Here is a 23,303-nt window from a genome sequence, read left to right as displayed (position 1 = left end):
AAAAGATGGGTAAATGAATGATTGGGTTAAAGGTTCTATCTGAGGGAAGATACAAATAGGAATCATAATTCAGTTAGAGAATCAAAGGGGAGAGAATATATATCTGAATATTCATTCAACAAACAAAACTACCCATTGTGTGTATAGCCCAGCATTTGCCTGGTTCAGGCACAGGCAGTAGGTAGCAGGCATCATTGGGGGAGCCTTGCCTGTGTCCACTCAGTCCTCTCTGAAGATCACTTGCAGCTTTAGTGGGTACTCCCTAACCATTTTGCCAGAGGACGTTCTCTGGCCACAGGAGTGCACCCTTGCCTGTGCACCGTGCAGGCTGGAAGCTCTGCAGAATCAAGAAGTCTTGCAAGTAATCCCCCAACAACGTGGAACACGAGTTGGTAGATGAATGTGCCTTGGTGGGACAATCTGGGATGTGAAGTGTGGTATTTTAGAAGGTCCCCAGTTGGATCTCAGCACGGTTGCCCACAGTAGGAATTTCACTTGCTTTCCTCCCTTCCTTGTCTGGCTTCCCCAGAGTGCCCAGGTGCTTCCTGGGATCACTTCCCAAATAAACTACTTGCACCTGAATTCTTTCTCAGGCTCTGCTTGGGGGGAAATCCAAACTAAGATATAAGCTGAATGGATGTTTGATGGAGAAAAATTGGGGGACATTTGTATTAAAATATTGATCGTGTTTGATCCGCACTCAGAACAGAGTTTAATATAGAAAATGGGGGTATTTTATGATATGAAGGAATGAGGAAAAGTCATGAAGAAGAAAGTTTGAGGGAACTAGCAAGATTTACTCTCAGACTGGGTGTGATGTATAATTGATTAAGAGGTTGAAACAGAACACGGTCCTTGGTTTTGAGGATGGTCACAAAGTTTGCATCATCTATAATGACCAACAATGAAAATAAGGGTGAATGATTTTTGGGGAAAACCCCCCAGAGAGTAAGTAATTGTGTTTAGCATGTGAAGTCCTTAGAATTTCAGGTCTTTCCCTCAAGTTCCCATATCATTATATTCTTTCCAATTGGATGATGAAATATGCACATGCACATTTACATTTTTCTTCCTCTTTAGAAAAACACCAAGGTGGGGAAATGAGGGAAGGAGACCCACGTTTTGCTGGGGGCAGGCAGCTATTGACTCCATGGTGTGTAATGTGTGTTTTCTGCCTTCTTGAAAAACTTCAGGAAACAAACCAAAAAGAGTCATATTACAGGATCACACCTGCTATAAGCTTTAGGCTGACAAGGACATGTTAGAGCTGTTGATTCTTATAAGAAGTATCTTAATTTAATTGGATCCTCTTGGCATCCAACAATGTCCATTAACCTCAGCAGTTTTTGAAGCTGATGATACATCCTGTACCTCATATCATATCATATTTTAAATCTCTTTCCCTGCATAACTTTGTACAGTTTCATAGTTCTACTTTGCCCGAATAAGGACGTTACCTTTCTGGGGGCATCTTTGTGAGTCGATGACTCATAGGGTTCAGGTCTGCTTTCAAGGTTAGTTGAGCGAGGACATGACCGCATAACAACAGTAAAATGGAAATGATTTTTCCAAGGAGCCTCTCTCACCATCTGATGTGTGGAATTTTTTCCAGCTTTCACAGCTGAGGCATTGCTAATTGTTGAATTTACATTAAGATTGTAAGCTCTGGCAAGCCTGAAATTCATTTTGGCTCATTTCCTCAGCCTCATTCCACAAATAGTATCTCCAGCCCCAAATGCTAAGGCCAAAGGAGAAAGATCCCGAGCTGTGTAAGGCAGATCTTTGGCCTTTTTCTTACTATAGCAAGATGCTTTCTATAGCAGTGAAAAGAATTCTAAACATTGGAAAATGTCTCCTTATGTGTGCCTTCTCTGTGTCACTGTAGACCAAATTAGTTCACATTAGGGTAGGCGGGACTGAGATTTTTCCTACCAGGGCAATTTGTGCAAAGGGATGGTTAGTGCTTTTAGGGAAATTTTGATCATTTCCTTCCAGTTTCTTTCAGTTCTAGCAACAACTCAGATATGGTGGCTATGTGGGAGGTCGATCCATGTTTAAATCAACACTGATTTAACAATATAATCAAACCTTTCTTCAGAATTCATGTGGTGATAGCAAAAACAATTTCAAGGGTAAACAAATATTTTTTGAGGGTGGGGATTTTTTTTTTGAAGCTGAAAATACTTTGAATAGTGGTGCTTCTCTGAGTTATAAAGAACTAACTAGACAAGTTTAAAAGGCATGATTTCTTTTCGTATGATTTTAGTTGATTCCGCTAAAAGTGGGGTAAGAAATGTCATAGGAAAGAGTCACACTGAAAAGCCACTCTACTTTTTTCCTTCTTATTAAACATGTGCTGTCATTTCCTAAGGGCAATTAGGATAACCAAGTTTATTCATGTTAAAGTTAGCTTCCAAAAGCATTGGTCTGCATTTAGTTGTTTGGTAAACATATTCAAGTTCAACTACCTACATCGACCACGATGTTAAAAATTGATCATTTTTCCTCTGCATCTTTCCCTAGATGATGAGCTGTTATTATTTTACTTTTTTAATGAATGAAGTGCCTTTGGATGTCAGTTATCTAATTAACAAATCATCCAATAGTTAATTGCCAAGATAAGAACAAAGGAAAATGTAAAAACAAGACAAATCATCTCCTTCTCCAAATGAGAAACTCAATAAAAAATGGTTGGTTTAATGGATTCCAGCAGGAGAAAAATATAAAACCAATAAATAATTAATTTTATTCTCTTTTTAAAATTGTTTTGGGATTATGGTATGGATGCAATTATAAACAACTGGGAGAGTTCAGTTCTTAAGTATATTTGCATCTAAACAAGAGGAAAAAATTATACCAGGGTTATTTATATCTTAATGAAGAGAGCAGAGAATGACATTAAAACCTCATGACAGCCTTTTTCTGGATGCCTCAGTTTATAATAAGTTTCCTTTGAAGGGAAAGGACTGGATTTGTAGGCCTAACTTTAAGTACTCAGACTGGAGGCAAAACTGGGAAGTGGAGGTGAGGAAAAAAGGATGATGTTATGGGTTATTTGTTGCTGAATAATAATTCACTTCAAAACATATAACTTAAAGAACAGTCATTTTATTGTCTTTTATAACTTTTGTGAGTTGCGAATTCAGGAAGGGTTTAGCTGGGTGCTACTGTCTTGGAATCTCTCCTCTGATTGTAACCAGACAGTGGTTGGAGCAACAAAAGTACAAGGTTGAGGGTGGAGGAAAGTAGGCTGAGGGTGAGGTGGGTGGAGCAGCTGCCTGGTGGCTGGGCATCTCTCGCTCACGATGCAGCTTCAGTGCTTCCCCTTGCTATCTTTTCACTTAACTAGAAAAATAAAAGCAAGTCAAATCAAGTTGGGCACAAAAGGAATAGGGGCAGAAGAGGTGAAATCACATCAAGTTTGGGCTTCCTCACCACATGGCAGTTTCAGAGTAGTTGGACACTTGCTTGGTGGCTCAGGACTCAATGCCTATGTTCCTGTGAGGTAGATGAGCTTCATCATTTATAACCTCAGAAATCACTCCGTGTAATTTCTACCATGCTCTGTGGTTACCAGTCACAAATCTGCCTAGACTTAAGGGAAGAGGAAGTAGAATCCATGTCTTGATGGAGAAGTGCCAAATTTCTGGAAAATCTTAGGACGCAATTCTTATGCAACTGCAATATGCAAGAATAGTAGGAAATATCTTATGGCCAGTTTTGGAAACTACAGTATTCCATAGGTGGCCAGGTAAATCTTGGAAACAACCAGGTATTCCTTCAGTAGGTAAGGGATAAATTGTGGTACATCAAACAATGGAATATCATTTAATACTGAAAAGAAATGAACTATCAAGCCATGAAAAGACATGGAGGAATCTTAAATATATATTACTAAGTGACAGAAGCTAATCTGAAAAGGTAACGGACTGTAATATTTCAACTATATGACCTTCTGGAAAAGGTAAAACTGTGGAGGCAGTAAGAAGATCAGTGGTTGTTAGGGGCTGAAGGGAGGGGGAGGGATAAATAGTGTAGGAGTCAAAGAGCCCTCTGAAGTTTCGCTAAAAAATCAACTCACAGAAGGTAGATTAATTGGGAAAAGGGCATACAAATGTGTTTACTTTCACACAGGAGACACAGTGATTACTCCAACCCCCGATTAGGGGGCAGAAGCTTATACACCATCTTGAGGTTACAGAAAAACAGAATGAGTCCACAAGAATACCTCCTGGTCCTAAGGTTTTCCAAGAAATCTTAGGATCCCGGCAAAGCAAACTATGTGAGTAGGGACAAGAGGAATTCTGTTGAGGGGCAATGCATGATTCCTAGGGAGAATTCAATGGGCTTGAAGAGAATACAGTTGTCTGGGACAAAATCTGTTGGGTTAGCAGAGTGGACAATGGTTTGTGATAAAAGTCTGTCCAGGTGTGTTGACAGACTTCAATCTTTCTTCCTGGAATCTAGGTTCAGTTAATGGAAACTCAGGGAAGGGTGCAGAGGTCATTGTTTTCTTCTTTGGCAGGTTCGGACTTTAAGCAGATAAGGGAACAAGATAATCCTAGGTTTTGGGAAAGAAGGTGGGGCAGAAGAAGGAAGGTCAGAGAGACATTAAAGCTTCTTCAGTTCAGCATGTCAAAATGCCATATTTTGGGGTATTGGTTTCTGATCCCCAACTATAGGCAGAGAGCAGAAAATTTTTGTGGCAGTGAAAGTGCTCTGTATGATACCATAACAGTGGACACATGCCATTACACATTTGTCCGAATTCATAGAATGTACAACACCAAGAGTGAAAGCTAATGTACACCAGGACTTTACGTGATTATGATGCGTCCAACGTAGGTTCATTGTCATTTATTACACTCTGATAGGGGATTTTGATAATGAGGGGGCTATGCATATGTAGGGACAGGGGTATATGGAAAAAATCTTGGTACTTCTAACTTTGCTTTGAACCTGAAACTGCTCTTAAAAATAAAATCTTTAAAAAAGGAAGCAAAGAAATCAATGGTGTGTGCTGCCTGTGCCTACCCCCACCATTTGGCCAGGCACACCCATCTGCACATCACCTCTTCTGCCCCTATATTCCTTTTGAGCCCAACTTGATTTGACTTGTTTTTATTCTTCTAGTTAAGAATTTGTGGATCTGATGTAGAATTTGCTGCTTCTGACTCCTCGATTTGAACTCTTCCTAAACTGGGCATCAACTCCCAGTTCGGTTTCTGGCTAAGCCCCTTTCTTCAAGCATTTTGCGTGAGCTCCTGGCATCTTAGCTCCTGTTCTAAAGGATCTCTCCTTTCTCCTGCACTGGCAGGTAAGTCCCTGTTGCCCCATGAGTGACAAAGGAGATTCAGCTTGGTCAGGACTGGGGGCTTGGAGAAGACCACATCAGCTTGGACAGGACTGGGGAATCATATTTTAGCATGTGCATTTTGTATCAACTGGATCTTTGAAGAGTTGGTGAGGAGAAAGCTGAAAAGAAAAAAAGACAAAAGTTGGGTTTGTGCATAAAAGCTTAGACCTATAAGAACATTAAAGATCATCTCATCCAGCCCGTAGGTAAGAGAATTGAGGCTCAGAGAGATGTACTGATTTCTTCACTAACATTAGTACCAGGCACTTGAATTAAGGTCTCCTTGTTTCTGTGTAGGCACACATAGAAAAAGTTCTGCAAGCACCAAACACATAGTCACTAGCAATACACTTTTGCTTTATTCTTCCTTAGAAGAAACTGTCAGTGAGCATTCAAATACTTTTGTTAACATTTCTTTTTAATCTTCTAAGAAAATAGTACTCTTGGTATTTAAAATACAAGGCCCATTTAGGTACTTTGAAATGATGGGAATAGTATGTTTCCTCTTGGGCCAACTCTACCAGGGATTCAGGAACACATGTTCGTCTTTCAACCCCTCATCCTTGGGTCCATCTGTCTACTCTCAGATTTGGTTAGCACCTGAGGTTTGACAGAGATCAGTTGGGATCAACATTGGTGATGAATCCTCACCCTGCCACTATCTTGGGCAAATTTGCTTCTTAGCTGCAGCCAACATTTGGGACCCCTTTGAGAGTCAAGTTTTGGTCAGATTGTCCTCTAGCATCCCCAAAATCACGAAGTTCAGCTAGTGGGGAAAGGTTGTGGGTAAAGAGTAGGCTGCGAGAGGATTCTAGAACTTCCTCTCCTGCCCCCAGGCTTTCAAAGCAGAGATATATAAGAGTAGAGATGGCCAAATGAGTCCAAGGTAAATCTGATTTGCTTTTCTCAGGAGATTCAATGAGATGATGTGTCACATGTAAACGTTGAGAAGTTAAACACGAGTTAGTTATTGGAGTGGCTGCAGGCTGTAATGGCATGCCATTTGAATTCAGAGCTAAGTCCAATCTTAGCGACATCACCTAATGGCTGAGTGAGCTTGGCAATTCAGTTTTCTTTATTGAATTTTAGGTTCCTGGTCTATAAAATGAGACCATACCTGGGCTGAATTGTGTGCTCCCCACATTGACATGCTGAAGTCCTAACCCCCAGTACCTCAGAATGTGACTATATTTAGAAACACGGCTCTTAAAGAGATAGTTGAGGTAAAATGAGGTCATAGAGTGGGCTCTAATCCAACATGACTGGTGGCCTTACAAGAAAAACAGATTAGGACACTGATAAGCACCGTGAGAAGATACTGGCAAAAAATAGCCATCTTTAAGCCAAGGAGAGAGGTCGTAGAAGAAACCACTGTGCCGCCATCTTGATTTTGGACTTCTGACCTTCAGAGTTATGAGAAAATAAATTTCTGTTGTTTAAGCCCCCCAGCCTGTGGTACTTTATTATGGCACTTTGTTACGGCCCTAACTGCCCTAACAATCGAAAGATTAAAAAAAAAAAACTTAAATCACTACCTGAATATAAAACTGTCAGTAAAACACTAATGGTAGTTACTATCCCTAAACTTTAAGAGATTGAAGGAGTTGGAGACTTGGGGAATTGGGCAGAGCTAAAAAGTACACAGCTAAGGAAATTTCTCTAGGCCTCCAGGAAGCAATGTGTTGAGAGGGTGTTTCTTGACTTGGGCTCATCTAATAGCAAGATGCGATGGAAACTGACTTGCTATGTCTGGCCAGTCTGTGTCAAGAAACCCAGGCAGAAGAAAACAAGGGAACTCTTTGTACTTCATGTTTATATTAATGATTGTTGTTGGGCCCAGAAGGGGAATCTTGTCCCTTCCTTGTCACTCAGAATTCCCAAATATAGCCCAGTTGGTGGCAAATTTCTAAGAAAACGTTTTAGCCGTGAAATGAAAGTGTTATTCTTTAGGAAAAAGAAATTACCTTGGGTTTTGTAAGGAGCAGAATAACTGCACTGAATTCTAGATGCTCATTTTTATTTGTGTTGGATAGGAGTAATCTTTCTAGCCTATACTTTTCAACTCAATGTTTATTTAGTCAACCTCTTGGAGAACTGAGCACTGCCCTGGCGGAACATTATAGTGTGTATGGAATGCACAGAAAGCCATGAGCCCTTGCTTTGCAGCTGGTACAACATAATTGGTGTTAGACAGGCTGACAGCAGCCAGGCAGTCATGCATCAAGGGAGTTTGGAAAGTAAAAGAAAAGCATGTAAGGTTAAGCAGGGAAAGAGAGTTCTGCACTTTTGTCTTTTGGTCTGAGAAGGCATCTTCTTAGCATCTGTGTAGAGGAGTCAGTAATTTTCTATTCAAAAGACACAGAATCCATTATCTAAGGTTTCACAGCAGTTTTTAATTTAGTAACCTCCTCTTCCTTCTCTCCTTCCCCTCTTCCTAAGCCATGTTATATTTTCTTTGCACAAATTTTCATGAGCTCTGCCTTCATCAAGGGAACTGTAATGAGAACCCTCAAAAAAAGGATTATCAACTTGGAGGCTGAGTATGAAAAGAATACATTTTTAAGTAACTTTTGCTTGACATCTCAATTTGTAATTCAGTTTTTTTAAAAATAAATAAATAAACCTAGAAGGATTGAAGCACTTTGTTTGGTAGAAATGAGCCATGCAAAAATTATAGTGAATCAGAGTATTTTATCATCAGTAGAGTGCCTTGATCAACCTAAGATGAAGGTAATTCGTAACTATAAATGGTTCCTTTTAATGAGATTAATTGTGTGGCTATTTTGGGGGTGGAAGCTGCAGCATCTGAAATTCAGGATAGGTAATGATGGTAAACATTACTGAAGAAACAATTATCCTGGAGGATTCGTCAGGGCATTTCATTTCTATCACTTTACAGAAGCAATCATTTCATTAGGAATTTTTATCACTAATCTGATTTTTTAAAAATGAATCCTTTAGAAAAAGATGAATTAAAAGTGCTTTCATAGAAGAAGGCGTGGACTCAAATGGCTTTAAAAAAATGAGTTCCTAAGTTGTAACTCACTGAGGCGAAGGCAAGGTGAAATATGTAAATAAATTTGGCTGACGAGAGAGTAGCAGTGGTCCAGGCCTCGAAGAGATTTAAGCCAGACCTTCAAAAGGCTGGACGCCACTTCTCTATTGTACTTGACAGTGCCTGAGGCAAATACTACTCCTGCTCAGGAACTATGGCCATCATTTCGCCCTTCTCTTTCCTCCTGTTTCTCTTCCCACAAGGTGGAAGAACAGTCCGGTAATTGACATTTGTGGCTTTGGAAGACACGCTGTATTCTGCAGTCCATGCACTGAATGCCTGGACCCATTAGAGATCTTCTGGGAGCTCCAAGGGTTGCTGACCCCCCTTTAAATGACTTTGGAAGAGCAGGCTGCAGCTTTAGGCCTGCCAAACAGTGGCACTGCAGCAGGTGTAGCTGCTAGGTGTAGGTCAGTGCTGGTGTTTTTCTTTTGGATTCCTGTTAGGAGGGAAGTCTATTCGAGCTTTGGTAGTTGTGTGCAGAAGGAATATTAGGATTGGGTTAACCCAGATAAGTTTTTGCATGGATAAAGGGATGCTTTATTATTTTTTTTAAAAAAATCATATATTTCCATAGGTTTTGGGGGAACAGGTGGTATTTGGTTACATGAGTAAGTTCTTTAGTGGTGATTTGTGGGATTTTGGTGCACCCATCACACGACCAGTATGCACTGAACTCAGTTTGTAGTCTTTTATCCCTCACCCCACTTCCATCCTTTCCCTCTAGTCTCCAAAGTACATTGTATCATTCATAGGCCTTTGCATCCTCATAGCTTAGCTCCCACTTATGAGTGAGAACATATAATGTTTGATTTTCCATTCCTGAGTTACTTCACTTAGAATCATAGTTTCCAATTCCAACCAGGTTGCTGCGAATGCCTTTAATTTGTTCTTTTTATGGCTGAGTAGTATTCTATCATACTATATACCATATTATATACCATACTATATACCATAGTGTCTTTATCCACTCATTGATTGATGGGCATTTGGGCTGGTTCCATATTTTTGCAATTGTGAATTGTGCTGCTATAAACATGAACATGCAAGTATCTTTTTTGTATAACGACTTCTTTTCCTCTGGGTAGGTACCGAGTAGTGGCATTGCTGGATCAAATGGTAGTTCTACTTTTAGTTCTTTAAGGAATCTCCACACTGTTTTCCATAATGGTTGTACTAGTTTGCATTACCACCAGCAGTGTAGAAGTGGATGCTTTATCAAAGACTTGCTTGTATCTTCCCTAGCATACAGCCTCCTAACACATCTTCTAGTGAGCAGGAAGGAAGGAAACAGATGTGTAAATCCTGTTATAAGCACCTCCTTTAAGCACTGGGGTATAACTTATCCACAGAAGACTAGGAGGCCTGTGCAGAAAGTGGGGACAAATTAATGAGTTGGAGATTTAATAACCAGCTTTCTGTACAACATGCTGAGGGGCTATTTACTTATTTTTCTTTTTTTAAACTCTTACAATGAAATAAATATATGTCTATTTTATAATATTGAAGAAATGAAGATAAACAAAACTGAGCAAGTAAGAGTGAACTGAACACTTTTCACCTGAAGATGACTACTGTTAATATGTCAGGATCATCCTACTGAGCTCTTTTCTTTGCTTATACATCTACACACACAGAAAACACAGATTTACCAAATGTGATAGTTTTATTATAACTATTGTCATTTTTAATGATTGCATAGTAGTTCTTTTAAAGATGGTACCAATGTTTTTTAAGCAAGATTTTATTGCTGGACATCTCCATTGTTTCTGGATTTCTCCTAGTGTAAACCACATTGTCCTGAACACTTTTGTAAATAATTATGCGTATCCATCCCTGACCATCTTCTTAGCATAAATTCCTAAGGAAAATTGAGAACTTCTGATACATATTGCCAAATTGCCACCCTGAAGAGTTTATGAATTCAAAACATGTTTACTAGCTGAGCAGTCAGTTTATGTCCAGGGTTGGCTCTTAAATGGGGACATCCAGCTGTGAAGAAGAAAACACAATGTCCTCATAGAGATAGCCATTAAATATGTAAACACAGCAGGTTTGAATGTCACATAAGGGGAAGACCAGGAGCCACTGGAGATCCTGGGGGAAGAACCACTTCAGAGTCCCCCAGCAGCATGTGGACGGGCCTGTGTCCCTGGGTCCTTGCCGGTGCCTTCCACTATTGTTTTGCTGCATTTTATATCGAAGTAAATAAAAATGAGATCCTGGACTGCACATTTATACACACAAACAGCCCAAGCATAAGGCACAATATACCCTTTTATGATCTCTGTCCTACTTTGGATTCAGGCTTAAGAGATCTCGTTCAGAGATTTTAATTTAATCAATGGACTCAAACCTGGTGAGGAGACAGCTTCTCAGGCTACAAGGCTGGCTGGTGCTGTCTTCTCTCAACACTGTGAGGGGGGCCTGGTTTCCTTCTGGACTGAATTAGTCACTTGCACATCTGTGTGGGGATCATCCTTCTTTTGATCTCTTCTCTCTGGGAGCATAATGAATTCATTGTATTTTATTTTTTCTCTTTCTCTTCCTCCTCCCCCCGATCTCCCACTTTTCCCGTCTCCCCTTCCCCTCACCTCTTCTCCCCTCCCCTGCTCCTCAAGTTATCTCTTTCTTTTTCTACATCATGAACAACTTGATGGGGGGTAACCCATACTCGAGTTTCTGGGTTCAGTAAATGCTCAATAGATTGTTGACTAATTTACCGAGTGCCTGAATGATGTCACCCGACTCTTTTACTGCTACCTGGAATCATTAGTGGCATTAGTTAGGACTCTGGGTTTACATTATAGAATGCAAACTTGCTTAAAGGGGCTATTTTTGGTCATATAAATAATAAGCCGATCTATTTAAATTTTCTTAAGTCCTTATTGCCATTAAACTCTTACTTTATTGTCACCTTTGATGTAAGGGAAAGACAGTCACTGCATTAGCAGTATAACAGACTTGAATGTCAGGTTAGGGATGAGGGCTTAGGGTTTTATGTAAGGAAAGCCCCAAGTGGTAGAGAGGTGGAGAAACCACTCATTCCTGCTGCAGGCTGATGGTGGGAAGGAGAGAAGGGACTGAGTGGGGAGAAGGAAACTCCCTTGCATAGGCCTGAGAGGGGTGGGTGTGTTAGGCAGGTTGAGGAAAGTGCTGAGGATGATGATTTTCTGTCTGATACCACAGGAGGCTGCAGGGGTTGCAGGGAGACCCCCCTGGTTCAGAAGGTCTCAGGGAGAATGTAGCAAAGGCTCAGTGTTCAGCAAGAGCTTGGGGAGGCCTTGGCAGTGCAAGGCGGGGGTCACCGGGGTGCAGGCAGAGAGAGGCTTGTGCATGGGTTACACACTGCTGCATGGAGCTGCAGGGCCTGCAGCTGTGACTTTTGTCAGAATAAGCAGTGATCAGGCAGACCAAGGACACCCTGCCAGAAGCCAGAGGAGCTCTGGAACTCCAGGAACCGTTGTACTCCAGAGCCACAAGGCCATGAGAGTTCTCTCCACTGTTCAACCCAATATAGGAGAGATTGAGCAATTATCCCAGATTAGAGAAAACCAAGTACATATTCTCCCCACTAAAACCATATAAAATTTACATTTTCTTTGTATTTGAGTTGTAGCATGAGCAATATTGCAACTCTGTTAGGCTAGTTTATACATAAAGGGGAATTTACTGATTCACAGAATCCAATAGGTTGTAGAGGATGTAGCGGTTGTAAGTTATGAGAAGGTGCAGGCTCACCTGGAGGCAGGGGCTCTGCTTTCTGTCTTCACTAACCTCTGCTTTGTGCTGCATCTCAGCTTCTTTCTTTCTCACTACTGACCAGTTCCTTCATGTGGGGAAGTTTTATACTCTATATTTCAACCATTAGAGGAAGAGAGACTTCCCTCAAGTTTATTTGTCTGTTTTGGCCTCAAGTTCAAACTCTCAGGGAATGATTATATTGGCTGTGTTGCAGTCGGGTGTCTTACTCTTGCACATCTGTGAGAAGATCTTCCGTGTTTTGATCATTCTCTCTGGGAACATAATGAATTCATTGTGTTTCCTTTTTTCTCCTTCTCCTTCCTCTCCTTCTCCCCCTCCCCGACCCTCATCCTCAATATATCTCTTTCTTTTCCTGTATCAGGAGCAACTTGATGAGGGGTGACCCATACTTTAGTTCCTTGGTTCAGTAAATGTTCAGAACAATCAGTTGTAGCCTGGGGATGGAATCTTCCACACCTCCTTCCCTCTTGGGTCAATTGCCTACTCCTGGACCAACAAACTATGGTCAGTGTGGTCAGGGGTTTAGGGATACATGGTGGTTCATGGTGTCCATGTGACTGAGGGAGAGTTCCCAAGAGAAAGGTTGAGTGAGGGTATCTCAGTCTGTCTGGACTGCCATAACAGACTAACATACATTGGGCAGCTTAAACAACAAACATTTATTTCTCACAGTTCTAAAGGATAGGAAGTCGTAGATAAGGGTGCTGGTAGGTTCTGGTGAGGGCCTTCTTCCTGGTTTGCAGATAGCCATCTTCTTGCTATATCCTCATGTGTGAAGGGGCGAGAGAGAGAGAGAGAGAGAGAGAGAGAACTCTTCTAAGTGTACTAATCCCATAATCAGGGCTCCATCCCTGTGACCTAATGACCTCCAAAAGGCCCACCTCCAAGTACCATATTATAGGGATTAGGGATTCAACATATGAATTTTAGGGGGACACAAACATTCAGTTAATAGCATTTGGTGATGTTAAAAGCAAGTCCCAGTAATATACAACATGACATCAATCCTCTGCCAAGACATTCAGGACGCCCCAGGACATTCGGGTTTCTTAGGATTGTAGGGGAGGAAAAGGTTCATGGCTGAGGTCACTATAACAAAAGGCAGATTAACAAAATGAAACCATACAAATTTATTTTACTATTGTATTTTTATTTTGAGATGGAGATTCGTTCTTGTTGTCCAGGCTGGAGTGCAATGGCACGATCTTGGCTCACTGCAACCTCTGTCTCCCATGTTCAAGCGATTCTCCTGCCTCAGCTTTCTGAGTAGCTACAGGCATGTGCCACGACATCCGGCTAATTTTGTATTTTTAGTAGAGATGAGGTTTCTCCATGTTGGTCAGGCTGGTCTTTAACTCCCGACCTCAGGTGATCCACCTGCCTCAGCCTCCCAAAGTGCTGGGATTACAGGCGTGAGCCGCTGTGTCCGGCTGCAAGTTTATTTTTTATGATTTTATGTGACGTGGGAGCCTTCATAAAGAAATGAAGACCCAAAGAAACAGGTCAACTTGTGTATTTTCATGCATAGGCTTGCTGAAGAGTGGTCAGTCATGGAGAAGTATGATTGGAGGAGAAAAGAATATGATCTAATAGTAAAAACCAGGGGAATCTTAGCAAGCTCTGTTTTTTCTGATTCTTCCTGGTGTCTCTGTGTCTTTGGCTCCTTTCCCTTGGGTATAGGGAGGGCTTCTCTTGAATGAGAGTCTTATGACCTTCCTTAGGGAAGAAGGATGAAGGGATGGTAGGAAGGGCCTTCCTGCTTCTGTTTTCTCAAGTGCTGATGCGCCATCTTTTTGGGTAACATGTTTTAAATCCTATCAGGAGGGATGGAATGGTGAGTGGCTTACTCAGAGAAGTCCACAGTAATCCTACCAGTCTCCAAGATGGCCCCAATGGTCCTTCACACATGTAGTTTTATCCCAGGCTGAATCCAAGCTGGCGTGTGTGATTAATCGAAATTGAGCACAGCTGAGCCGGTGGCATGTGGCTTCCAGGGCAGGTCTTACGGGGCTTTGTGGTTTCCATTTGCTTTTACAGGTCCCTTACTCTTGCTGTGAGCACAGTCAAGCAGCCCTGTGAAGGGCTCATGTGGAGAGGAACCGTGGCCTTCTACTGACAGCCAGCAGCCCCTTGCCAGTCATGCGAGTGGGCCACCTTGGAGCAGACCCTCTGATTAAGGCTTCAGTTAATTCCAGCTTTGGCTAACACCTGACTGTAATTTCATGAACAGCTTTTTCAAGCCAAACTACCCAGCCAAGTAGCTTCCAAATTCCTGACCCAGAGAAACAAGTTGTCAAAGATAAGAAATATTTACTGTTGTTTTAAGCTTCTAAGTTTTGGGTAATTTATTATGCATGGTTAAATTAATTTTTGTACATTCCCAAATCAGGCAAGTCAGGGTAAACTTTCTCATCCTTCAGTAGCCATGCATAGTGCCCATCTAATGTGACTCAAATAGAGAGGAAATGGGCAGAAACTTCCACATTCTTTTCTTTGGATCCCATAGGTATTCTTTTAAAAAAGACAAAGGAGAAAGAATACAGGAAACAAAGAACATCTGATGTGTATTTTACCTAGTTTGCTAATATCACTGGAACGCTAAGAAAGGAAATGTCATAGCATAGCACATTGAAGAAAAAAAAAGACACTAAAAAAGTATTCAGAATATCTGAATTTTCATCCCAACTCTCGGCCAAGTCATTAAGCTTTTTCTGCTCCAACCTTCCTGGGTTGCTAAAGGATCACATGAGATAATGAACACGGAAGCTCTCTAAAACTTTTTACCACCTTGCAAATATCACATCGTCATTGTTGGAATCATGAGGACAAAGGGTGTGAATGTGGGTTAGAATTGGAAACTGGGAGGAAGAAATAAGAGAAAACCTGTTCATTTCCTTCTCTAATAAAAAAAATAAATTTCCTGATAATAGAAAAATACTTTTAGTCAATGTTGACTATTAACTTAATATTGTTTGGGAACATTTCTGTGTGTAGGAAACCTTGAAATAAGATCTCCATTTGGCCCATGAATTACAGAGTTGCTAATAAGCAGATTCCTAATAATTCTGTCTCCAGGCATTCTCCTGACATCCCGTAGCTGTGCGATTGCAGGGGGATCTGAGAGTTGCAGCTCCCGCCAGGGCTGTGCCACCCACTGATATATAACCTGCTGGAAGGTGTTATCTGTATCAGTCTTCCCATAGAGACCCCATACCTCAGCAGGTATAATTCATGAGTGAAGGTGTAACTGATGAATCTTCTAATTTTATAGTCTGAAATGGGATGATACAATGCTAGATTTATAGATATTGTTTCATTGTGTACAACACTCACGTTTCTTATTCCCATCTGGTGTGAAGAAAAGAAATTTGCTTTCCCTTTATCGTGTCATGCTGTTAAATGTATGTTGCTTAAGATCTTGAGGAGTGGAAGCATAGCTATCCACCAGCATAAAAGACGTGGTGCTGTGGGCGATAGTTTAATGCAAGCAGAGCTTAACCAAAGGCATTTTATTACCATTGCAGTTATTTTTTATTTTGGAAGGGGAATATAAACCTTTATGTCCCGTTTTATTAACAAAACCTGCCCTCAAATTAGGATGAGCTTTTTTAGATATGCAGTTGTCTGTCGATTCTTCCCCAAATTTCATGCTACTAAATGTGCAGACTGCTCCATTGTTGTAGAGCATTAGAAATTTTCTGCCCAAGGAGTGCATTTTCAATTGCACCCTTATCAGGTGACCTTCCTATGGCCATGCAAAATGGCTTCTTACAGATTTTAAGGCATTGAAAATAGAAGCTTCTCTCTTCTAAAACCAGAACCAAAAGTTCCTGCCTGTACCTGATAGAGACTGCCCTCTCTGACTTTCCAAATCCCATATAAAGAACATGTCCCCATGTATGCTCTTATATTTAGCATGCTCCCATTAATGTGTCACTTCTCTTATGGAAGAACAATTAGGCGTTCATCTCGTTAAAACAGAAGAGAAACATAAAAACATGAGTGTCACAAAGGAGATGAGAGAGTAAAAATACAAGAAAAAGAATGTGTCTGTGTTATTCAAAATCATGACATTCAAATAATACTAGTCTTTATATAAGGCCTTGGAGGAAAAAAAAGGAGAAGGCAATGCAAAATGAATTTCTAAAAGAAATTTGTGAAGGAGTGATATCTATCATAGAGCAGATCCTCTTTTAAGGATTGGCAAACATAAATATTTAAATAGGCAAAAACTTAATTACTCATTTTTATTTTTTATTTTTTATGTTTTCTTCTGAGACAGAGTGTCTCACTGTCACCCAGGCTGGAGTGCCGTGGCACAATCTTGGCTCATTGCATCCTCCAGCTCCCATGTTCAAGTGATTCTCCTGCCTCAGCCTCTTGAGCTGCTGGGATTACAGCCCGCCACCACACCTGGCTATTTTGTATTTTTGTATTTTTAGTACAGATGGAGTTTCAGCATGTTGGCCAGGCTGGTCTCAAACTCCTGACCTTAAGTATCCACCCACCTCGGCCTCTCAAAGTGCTGGGATTACAGGCATGAGCCACCACGCCCAGCCCATCTTATTTTTAATAAACCACTAAATATGTTCTTTATATATATGTATATATATGTTTATGTATTATGATAAATAATGTCTTCATTACAGAAAGAAATTGAAGCGCCTGTTTCTTAATTACATTAAGAAAGAATCTGGTTTCCCTTGAAAATTGGTGTATATTTCCCTTGAATATTGGTGTATATTTACCTTCGACCAAAAATATTTACCTATTAATTACAAAAGACTTTTGAAAGATCTCAAAGTGATGATAGGAAGAGGAAAATAAATATGTAGTAGAGAGATGTAAGGAAGAAAAATAATAATGGCTAAGGCTGGCAGTTATTTAGCACTTCTTTTGTGCCGGGCACATTTATGTATTTATGTGTCATCTCATTTAATACAAATGGTCTTATTTCAATGTCACTACTATTTTCACAGGGTTCCAACTGGATAGACAGAGAAACAGACACTCATGATTAAGATGCTTGATGAATAATGATAAAATGAACTGGGTGAAATCATAGTGACTTGGGAGATAGAGGGGACTGCAGGGTCAGAGGAGGCTTCTTTTAGGAGGTGACATTTGGAGAGAATGACTGGGGAGAGAATGGCATGAAATGGGATTGGGCTGGACATTGAATAAGTAGCTGCCTCTTCCTCAGATGGTGAACATCTTTCCATCTCTAAAAGCAGGGCTATGCATTTTACTGGCTGCATAATGTTCTACTTAATAGTTGTGACATGACTTCTTATCTCTTGTTTTTGAGCACTTAATTCCATGTTTTGCTGCTATAAATAGTGCTATAGGGAACTGCCATGTTCACACATCCTGAGCCCTCCGGATTATTTCCCTTAGATAAATCCCCAGAAGTAAGATTTTGGAGTCAAAGTGCACAGGCCTTTACCATTTTACCCCACAATTCTCTACAGCCCTATGTGACTTGCCATGGCAGTGGCAGGACTGAAACCCAAGGCTGTTTGACACAAGCCAAGGTTCCGACCACTAGAAGGCTCCTGTAATCCCATCGGGAGCCCCTCCACTTTACCTTTAAAGAGAAGCCCCTTCTCTTTACCTTTAAATATTTGCCAACCTAGAAATTTAGGAATTTCACAAGTTCTTATCAGTTCTCTTTCCACATGTTCAATACTGAAGTTATTATCTTCTTCAACAGCCCAAAATAAAAAAAAAAAAAATCCTACCTCCTGTTTTGTATTCTTGTTTATTTCATTGTTATCACCATCCTCCTGGTCACTGAGACTGGGGATCTTACTGGATTGTCCCCCTTTTTCGGTTTTCTTTTCTTTCTTTCTTTCTTTCTTTCTTTCTTTCTTTCTTTCTTTCTTTCTTTCTTTCTTTCCTTCTTTCTCTCTCTCTTTCTTTCTTTTTTTTTTTTTTTTTGAGACAGAGTCTTGCTCTGTCACCCAGGCTGGTGTGCAGTGTCACAATCTTGGCTCATTGCAACCTCTGCCTCCTAGGTTCAAGCAATTCTCCTGACTCAGCCTCCCAAGTAGCTGCCATTACAGGCACACACCACCACACCCAGCTAATTTTTTGTATTTTTAATAGAGATGTGGTTTCACCATGTTGATCAGGCTGGTCTCGAACTCCTGACCTGAGGTGACCCTCCTGCCTTGGCCTCCCAAAGTGCTGGGATTATACACGTGAGCTACTGCACCTGGCCTGTCCCCTCCTTTTCACCAACCACATCCCATCAGCCATCACACCTTTTCCACTCTACCTCATCTTTCTGGGATCTGACCCTCCCCTCCAGCTGCACCACCACTGACTCCCTGCTGGTCCTTTCGTCTTTCATATATTTTACCTTCAATGTTTCTTGGAGTCTAGTATTGCCAACCTTCACAGTGGCTCTGAGGGATCTTTGTAAGAGGAAATATGTGGAAAAGATCATGTGAAACCCCAGGTTAAACTCTTGGCATGCTCCTTGCTACCACAATCTATACACTATTAAGAGGACGAGGCCGTCACGTGGATTGCGGGTCCCCCACAATCTGGCCCATCTGCCTTCAACCTCCCTGTCTCACTCCTTCCATGACAACCACTGCAGTGCTGCCAGTCCCCAGGGGGTCTAGGCTGTGCTTGTTTTCTGATTTTGCTCTGCCTGGTGCGTCTTTCCTTCTTTAAGATGTGTCTTATTTTCTCCTGTGTGATGTCTTCACTAGCCTCCAGGGTCATTGCCTGGCAACTTGCCCTGTATTAGTCAGTTCTTGCATTGCTATAAAATAATACCTGAGACTGGGCAATTTATAAAGAAAAGGGGTTTAATTGGCTCACAGTTCTGCAGGCTGTACAGGAAGCATGGTAGCATCTGCTTCTGGGAGGTCTCATGGAGGAAGGCAAAGCAGGAGCAGGCATCTTGCATGGCAGGAGCAGGACCAAGAGAGAGCAAGGTGGGAGGTACCACACATTTGGAAACAACCGAATCTCACAAGAACTCACTATTGCAACTACAGCACCAAGTGGGGATGGTGCTAAACCATGAGAAACTGGCCCCCTGATCCAGTCACCTCCGGCCACGCCCCACCTCCCACACTGGGGATTATAATTTGACATGGGATTTGGGTGGGGACACAGATCCAAGCCATCTCACCCCCTTCGTGCCTCGTGCACAGCACCATCAGAGAAACATGAGAGAAATTTTCTTTCCTGGAGGCCAAATGGCAAACCTGAGTCTGGGTGGTGTGCAGAAGAAATACATTGGCATTCTCTTAGTAAATGTATCAGGTGGGGGTAACAAAAGTACCTGCAGTATGAGGTGGTTGTGACAGAATGCATGTAAAGCCCTTAGATCCATGCCTGGCTCAACATAAGCACTCCGTTTGTGCTAATTATTGTGGTTGTCATTGTTATTATCCATTCAAAAAGCATTTCTGGTCCAATGGATATTGTAATAAGAGAAAAGCACAAATTTATAGTGAGCTAATGAGTGAGTAACAAAAAGATGTAGAATAAAAGGAGGGCTGTTTCTTTCCCAAAGGATATCAAATGGTGCTGCTGTGCCTTAATATAGAAATGATATTTAGGTGTCTGAGATGATAGAATAATAATAATTATCTTTATTGTGATGATGATGATAGTAATAATAATAATAATAAGCCTGATAGTTATTCAGTGCTTCCTTTGTACAAGGCTTTATCAGACTAAGTACTTCGTATGAATTATTTCATTTAATTTCCACAAAAACCTCTCAGGGCAAGCATTTTTATCTCCTTTTGACAGATGAAAACCTTTGAAACAGAGGAAAGTCAATTTCCTTGCCCAAGCTTCTACAGTTGGAAAATTGTGGGACCAGGGTTTGAACAAGGTGTAATTCATTGTGATTTCACTAAGACCTGGACACACCTGTGCTTGACCTTGGATTTAACCCTCTGTTGGAACTTTATCCACAGTTTGCATGTGAAAAGATCCTCCCCTTTGAAGGCTGACAAAAGACACCCTCAACTCACATCTCCTAGTTGACGAGAATCAGAAATCGTCTCCTGCATTATCATCCATGTGCAAATTGAAAAATGCTTTAGAATATGATAGCGACAAATAGAGAACTTGCCAGAATTCAAAGATCAGCTACCTATGGGCTTTAAAATTCCTTTGTGATTTGGGGCCCTGTATTTGCTTTGGAGTGGACTTGTGTAGGTAGAGGGGGAAGATGTGGAAGTGTCCTCTTTGCAGGCTTTGCATTCAGTAGGTGCTGAGTAAAGGAAAAATGGGGAGTGAAGCTTATATTTTAGAGGTGTTATTCAGTAGCATTAAAAAGACCCAGGATATTGGGAACGCCATGTTGATGCTTAATAATATATCTACATGTTAATATATTATTAAGACTTTATAGTCTATTTCCAAAAGACTATAAAGTGTGCTATAGTGGAAACAGTAAAAAGGAAAAAAAACCTTACATATTACAATGTAAGTTTTCACTCTTTTCTATACTCATTAACTTTTTATATTATTAATGAACTGAGTAATTGATAATGCAGCTTCTACAATTTGTATGCCTATTACAGACATGCTTGGGAAATATATCTGCTCTCTACTGTCTATCATTGGAAAGTCAAGTTTCCCAGATAAACTGTCCATGGACACATACCAGTTCTTCAGAATTGTGGAATCTCATCTCTCTTCAAATCTCACCCAAATAGTGTTCCCACAGTTGGATTAGCACGGAACCCCACAGCTGGTCAGTGAGGATATGTGTGCTTAAAAGAAGCTTTTAATTTTGACCTTTAAGTCAAAATAATAATGTCATTTCATTTAGATAATTTAGGTCTCTTTTGCTGAATCCATCCAAGATCTTTTTATTCACTAGAGTCCCTGAGTAACTGAAGACCAGTGTTTAATGAGAGTGGAGATGGAGTGAGGTGCAGGCATTGAGAACAGGTGCATAAACAACTGTCTGCTGTAGCAGAAGGAGTTAATTCTGTTTGGAAAGTGTGAATGAGATGCTGGGCATTTGGACTTTTCTATTTTTTGGTTCTTGCAAATAATGCTGCTTTATACATTCCTTACATTTCTTTTGGTAGATATTTTTGTTGGGTTTATATCTACAAGTAGAATTACTAGGTCACAGAACAGGTATATGTTGAGCTTTAGAAGATACTGCCAAACAGTTTTCTAAATTCCTTGTATCCATTTAAATGCACCAATGATGATTCCAGTTGTTTCTCATCCTTGCAACACTTGGTATTTTCTTTTTCACTTTTGCCATTTGCCATTAATTTTGCCAGTGCTGTTATCTTATTGTTTTAATTGCTATTTCATCGATAACTAGTGAGGTTGCTCACCTTTTCAAATGCTTACTGACCACTTGGATGTCATATTTTATAAAATGTTTGAATACATCTTCTGACGATTATTTACAAATTGGGCTCTTGGTCTTTTTCTCACTGTTTCTTAGAAGCTGTTTATAGTTTGTAGATATGAATCCTTTGCCAGCCATATGGATTAAAAATAACTTTGCCCTGGGTAGGGCTTGTCTTTTTACTTTCTTAGTAACGTTTTTTGATTAACAGAAGTTCCCAATTTTATGAAATGGAATTTATTGTTTTTTTGTTTGCAATCTACTTAGAATAAAATGTTATATATGTCATGAGATAAGAATAACATTCTTTTTTTCACTTTCAGTTTTGAAGCTTATTTTCTCTAGTTATAGCATTGCAGATTGGCAGTTCCCCCCACCCTGCCCCCTTTCAACACTTTAAAAATGTCATTTCATCGTCTCTTGAACATAGTTTCAGTTGAAAAGTCAGCCATTGGTCTTATTATTGCTCCTTGAATGAACCGTTTCTCACTGACTTCAGTTTTCAGCAGTTTTACTCTGATGTGCCTAGGTGTGGTTTTCTTTGTATTTATATTGCTTGACATTGGTAGAGCCTCTAGAATCTTTATGTGTCTGTGGTTTTATGTCTTTTGTCAGTTTTGCAAAATTCATAGTCTGTCTTCACATACTGCTTCTGACACATTATTTCTTTCTTCTCTTTGGAGACTAACACTTGTCAGATTTTTTTAAATGGTGTCTGGTATATCTCTTGTAGTCTTTTCAATTATGGCCTTTTTCTACTTGCAATTGCTTATTTCTCTCTGTGATTTCAGCTGGATATTTTCTATTGGTCCATTTCCAGTTCACTAATTCTTTCTTGTACCATGTTTAACCTGTTGTTTAACACATCCGTCAATTTTTTTAATTTAGGTTATTTTATTTTTGATTTCCATAATTCCCATTTGATTCTTTTTATGCATTATAGCTGTCTGGTGAAGTTCACCATCTCACCATCTACTTACTTGAATAATAATCACAGGTATTCTAAAATCCATGTTTGATAACTCAAATTTCTGGGCACCTAAAAGTGTTGTTATTGTTTTCAACCTCTGTTGGGTTTTGGTCATTTAATCTTTTTGCATATCTGGACATTTTTCTGTGGGTTCCTCTTCCCCTTAGTTTTTGGTTATTTTATTTTCTTGCATACTTAGGGTTTTTAAAAATAAGTCTTTTGTCTACTAGAAACATATTTGTTTCCTCATCAGTGGAAATGTAAGTATGTAATTACAATCTCCACTCTGCTTCACTCAGCCTTTCTCCCTTTGTATCTCTTTGCTATTAGTCAAACACAAGTTTACTTTGTCCCACAAACTCTAAGGTTACACCTCAAACTCTATGAATTTGAACATTTCTCTTTAGCTTTGAGATGAGGTAGCTGAACTACCTCCTATTTCTCCCTGGGGGTGGAGAAGGAAAATGTCACAACACTTGAACAGCATTTTCCAATGAAATTCTCTTTTCAAGCTCAAACTCCCTTCTTGGCCTTAATAAACACCTTTATAAATAGTATATCACCTCAGTTTGGAATGAAAGTGTAATGGCACTTATTGTCTTGGGGCCTCAGTTGAAACAGACAAAAGTTTCCTTTTGGTAACTGGTTATAATTTGTAATAATATCATCATTTTTCTTGATATAAAAACATGAATATTAATTAAAAATGCTTGATTTTTTAATTGTTTAAAATTGCAATCAATCCATAAAAATTAGAAAAATTGTTGGTCCATGTTTACCCATGAAGCAGGTAGTCCACAGC

The 23,303-nt window shown here is 40.2% G+C and overlaps 2 long non-coding RNA genes across 2 annotated transcripts in view; one reads left to right on the top strand and one right to left on the bottom strand.

The window, feature by feature from the left end:
* The window catches only part of LINC00457 (long intergenic non-protein coding RNA 457), a 205,236-nt gene that overhangs the window by 21,299 nt on the left and 160,634 nt on the right, over positions 1 to 23,303 (top strand). The window lies entirely within an intron of this gene.
* LINC02343 (long intergenic non-protein coding RNA 2343) overlaps positions 3,095 to 23,303 on the bottom strand; it is a 268,250-nt gene continuing 248,041 nt past the window's right edge. Inside the window, exons 3-4 of the long non-coding RNA NR_146542.1 lie at positions 10,768 to 10,911; positions 3,095 to 5,475 (exon numbers count right to left, since the gene is read on the bottom strand). This is a non-coding gene — a long non-coding RNA (long intergenic non-protein coding RNA 2343). The remainder of the gene's footprint in view (positions 5,476 to 10,767; positions 10,912 to 23,303) is intronic.

The sequence above is a fragment of the Homo sapiens genome, chromosome 13, assembly GCF_000001405.40.
Source record: "Homo sapiens chromosome 13, GRCh38.p14 Primary Assembly".
Lineage (NCBI taxonomy): Eukaryota > Metazoa > Chordata > Mammalia > Primates > Hominidae > Homo > Homo sapiens.
Note: the sequence above shows the minus strand (reverse complement) of the source record. Positions and strands in the feature narration are given on the sequence as shown.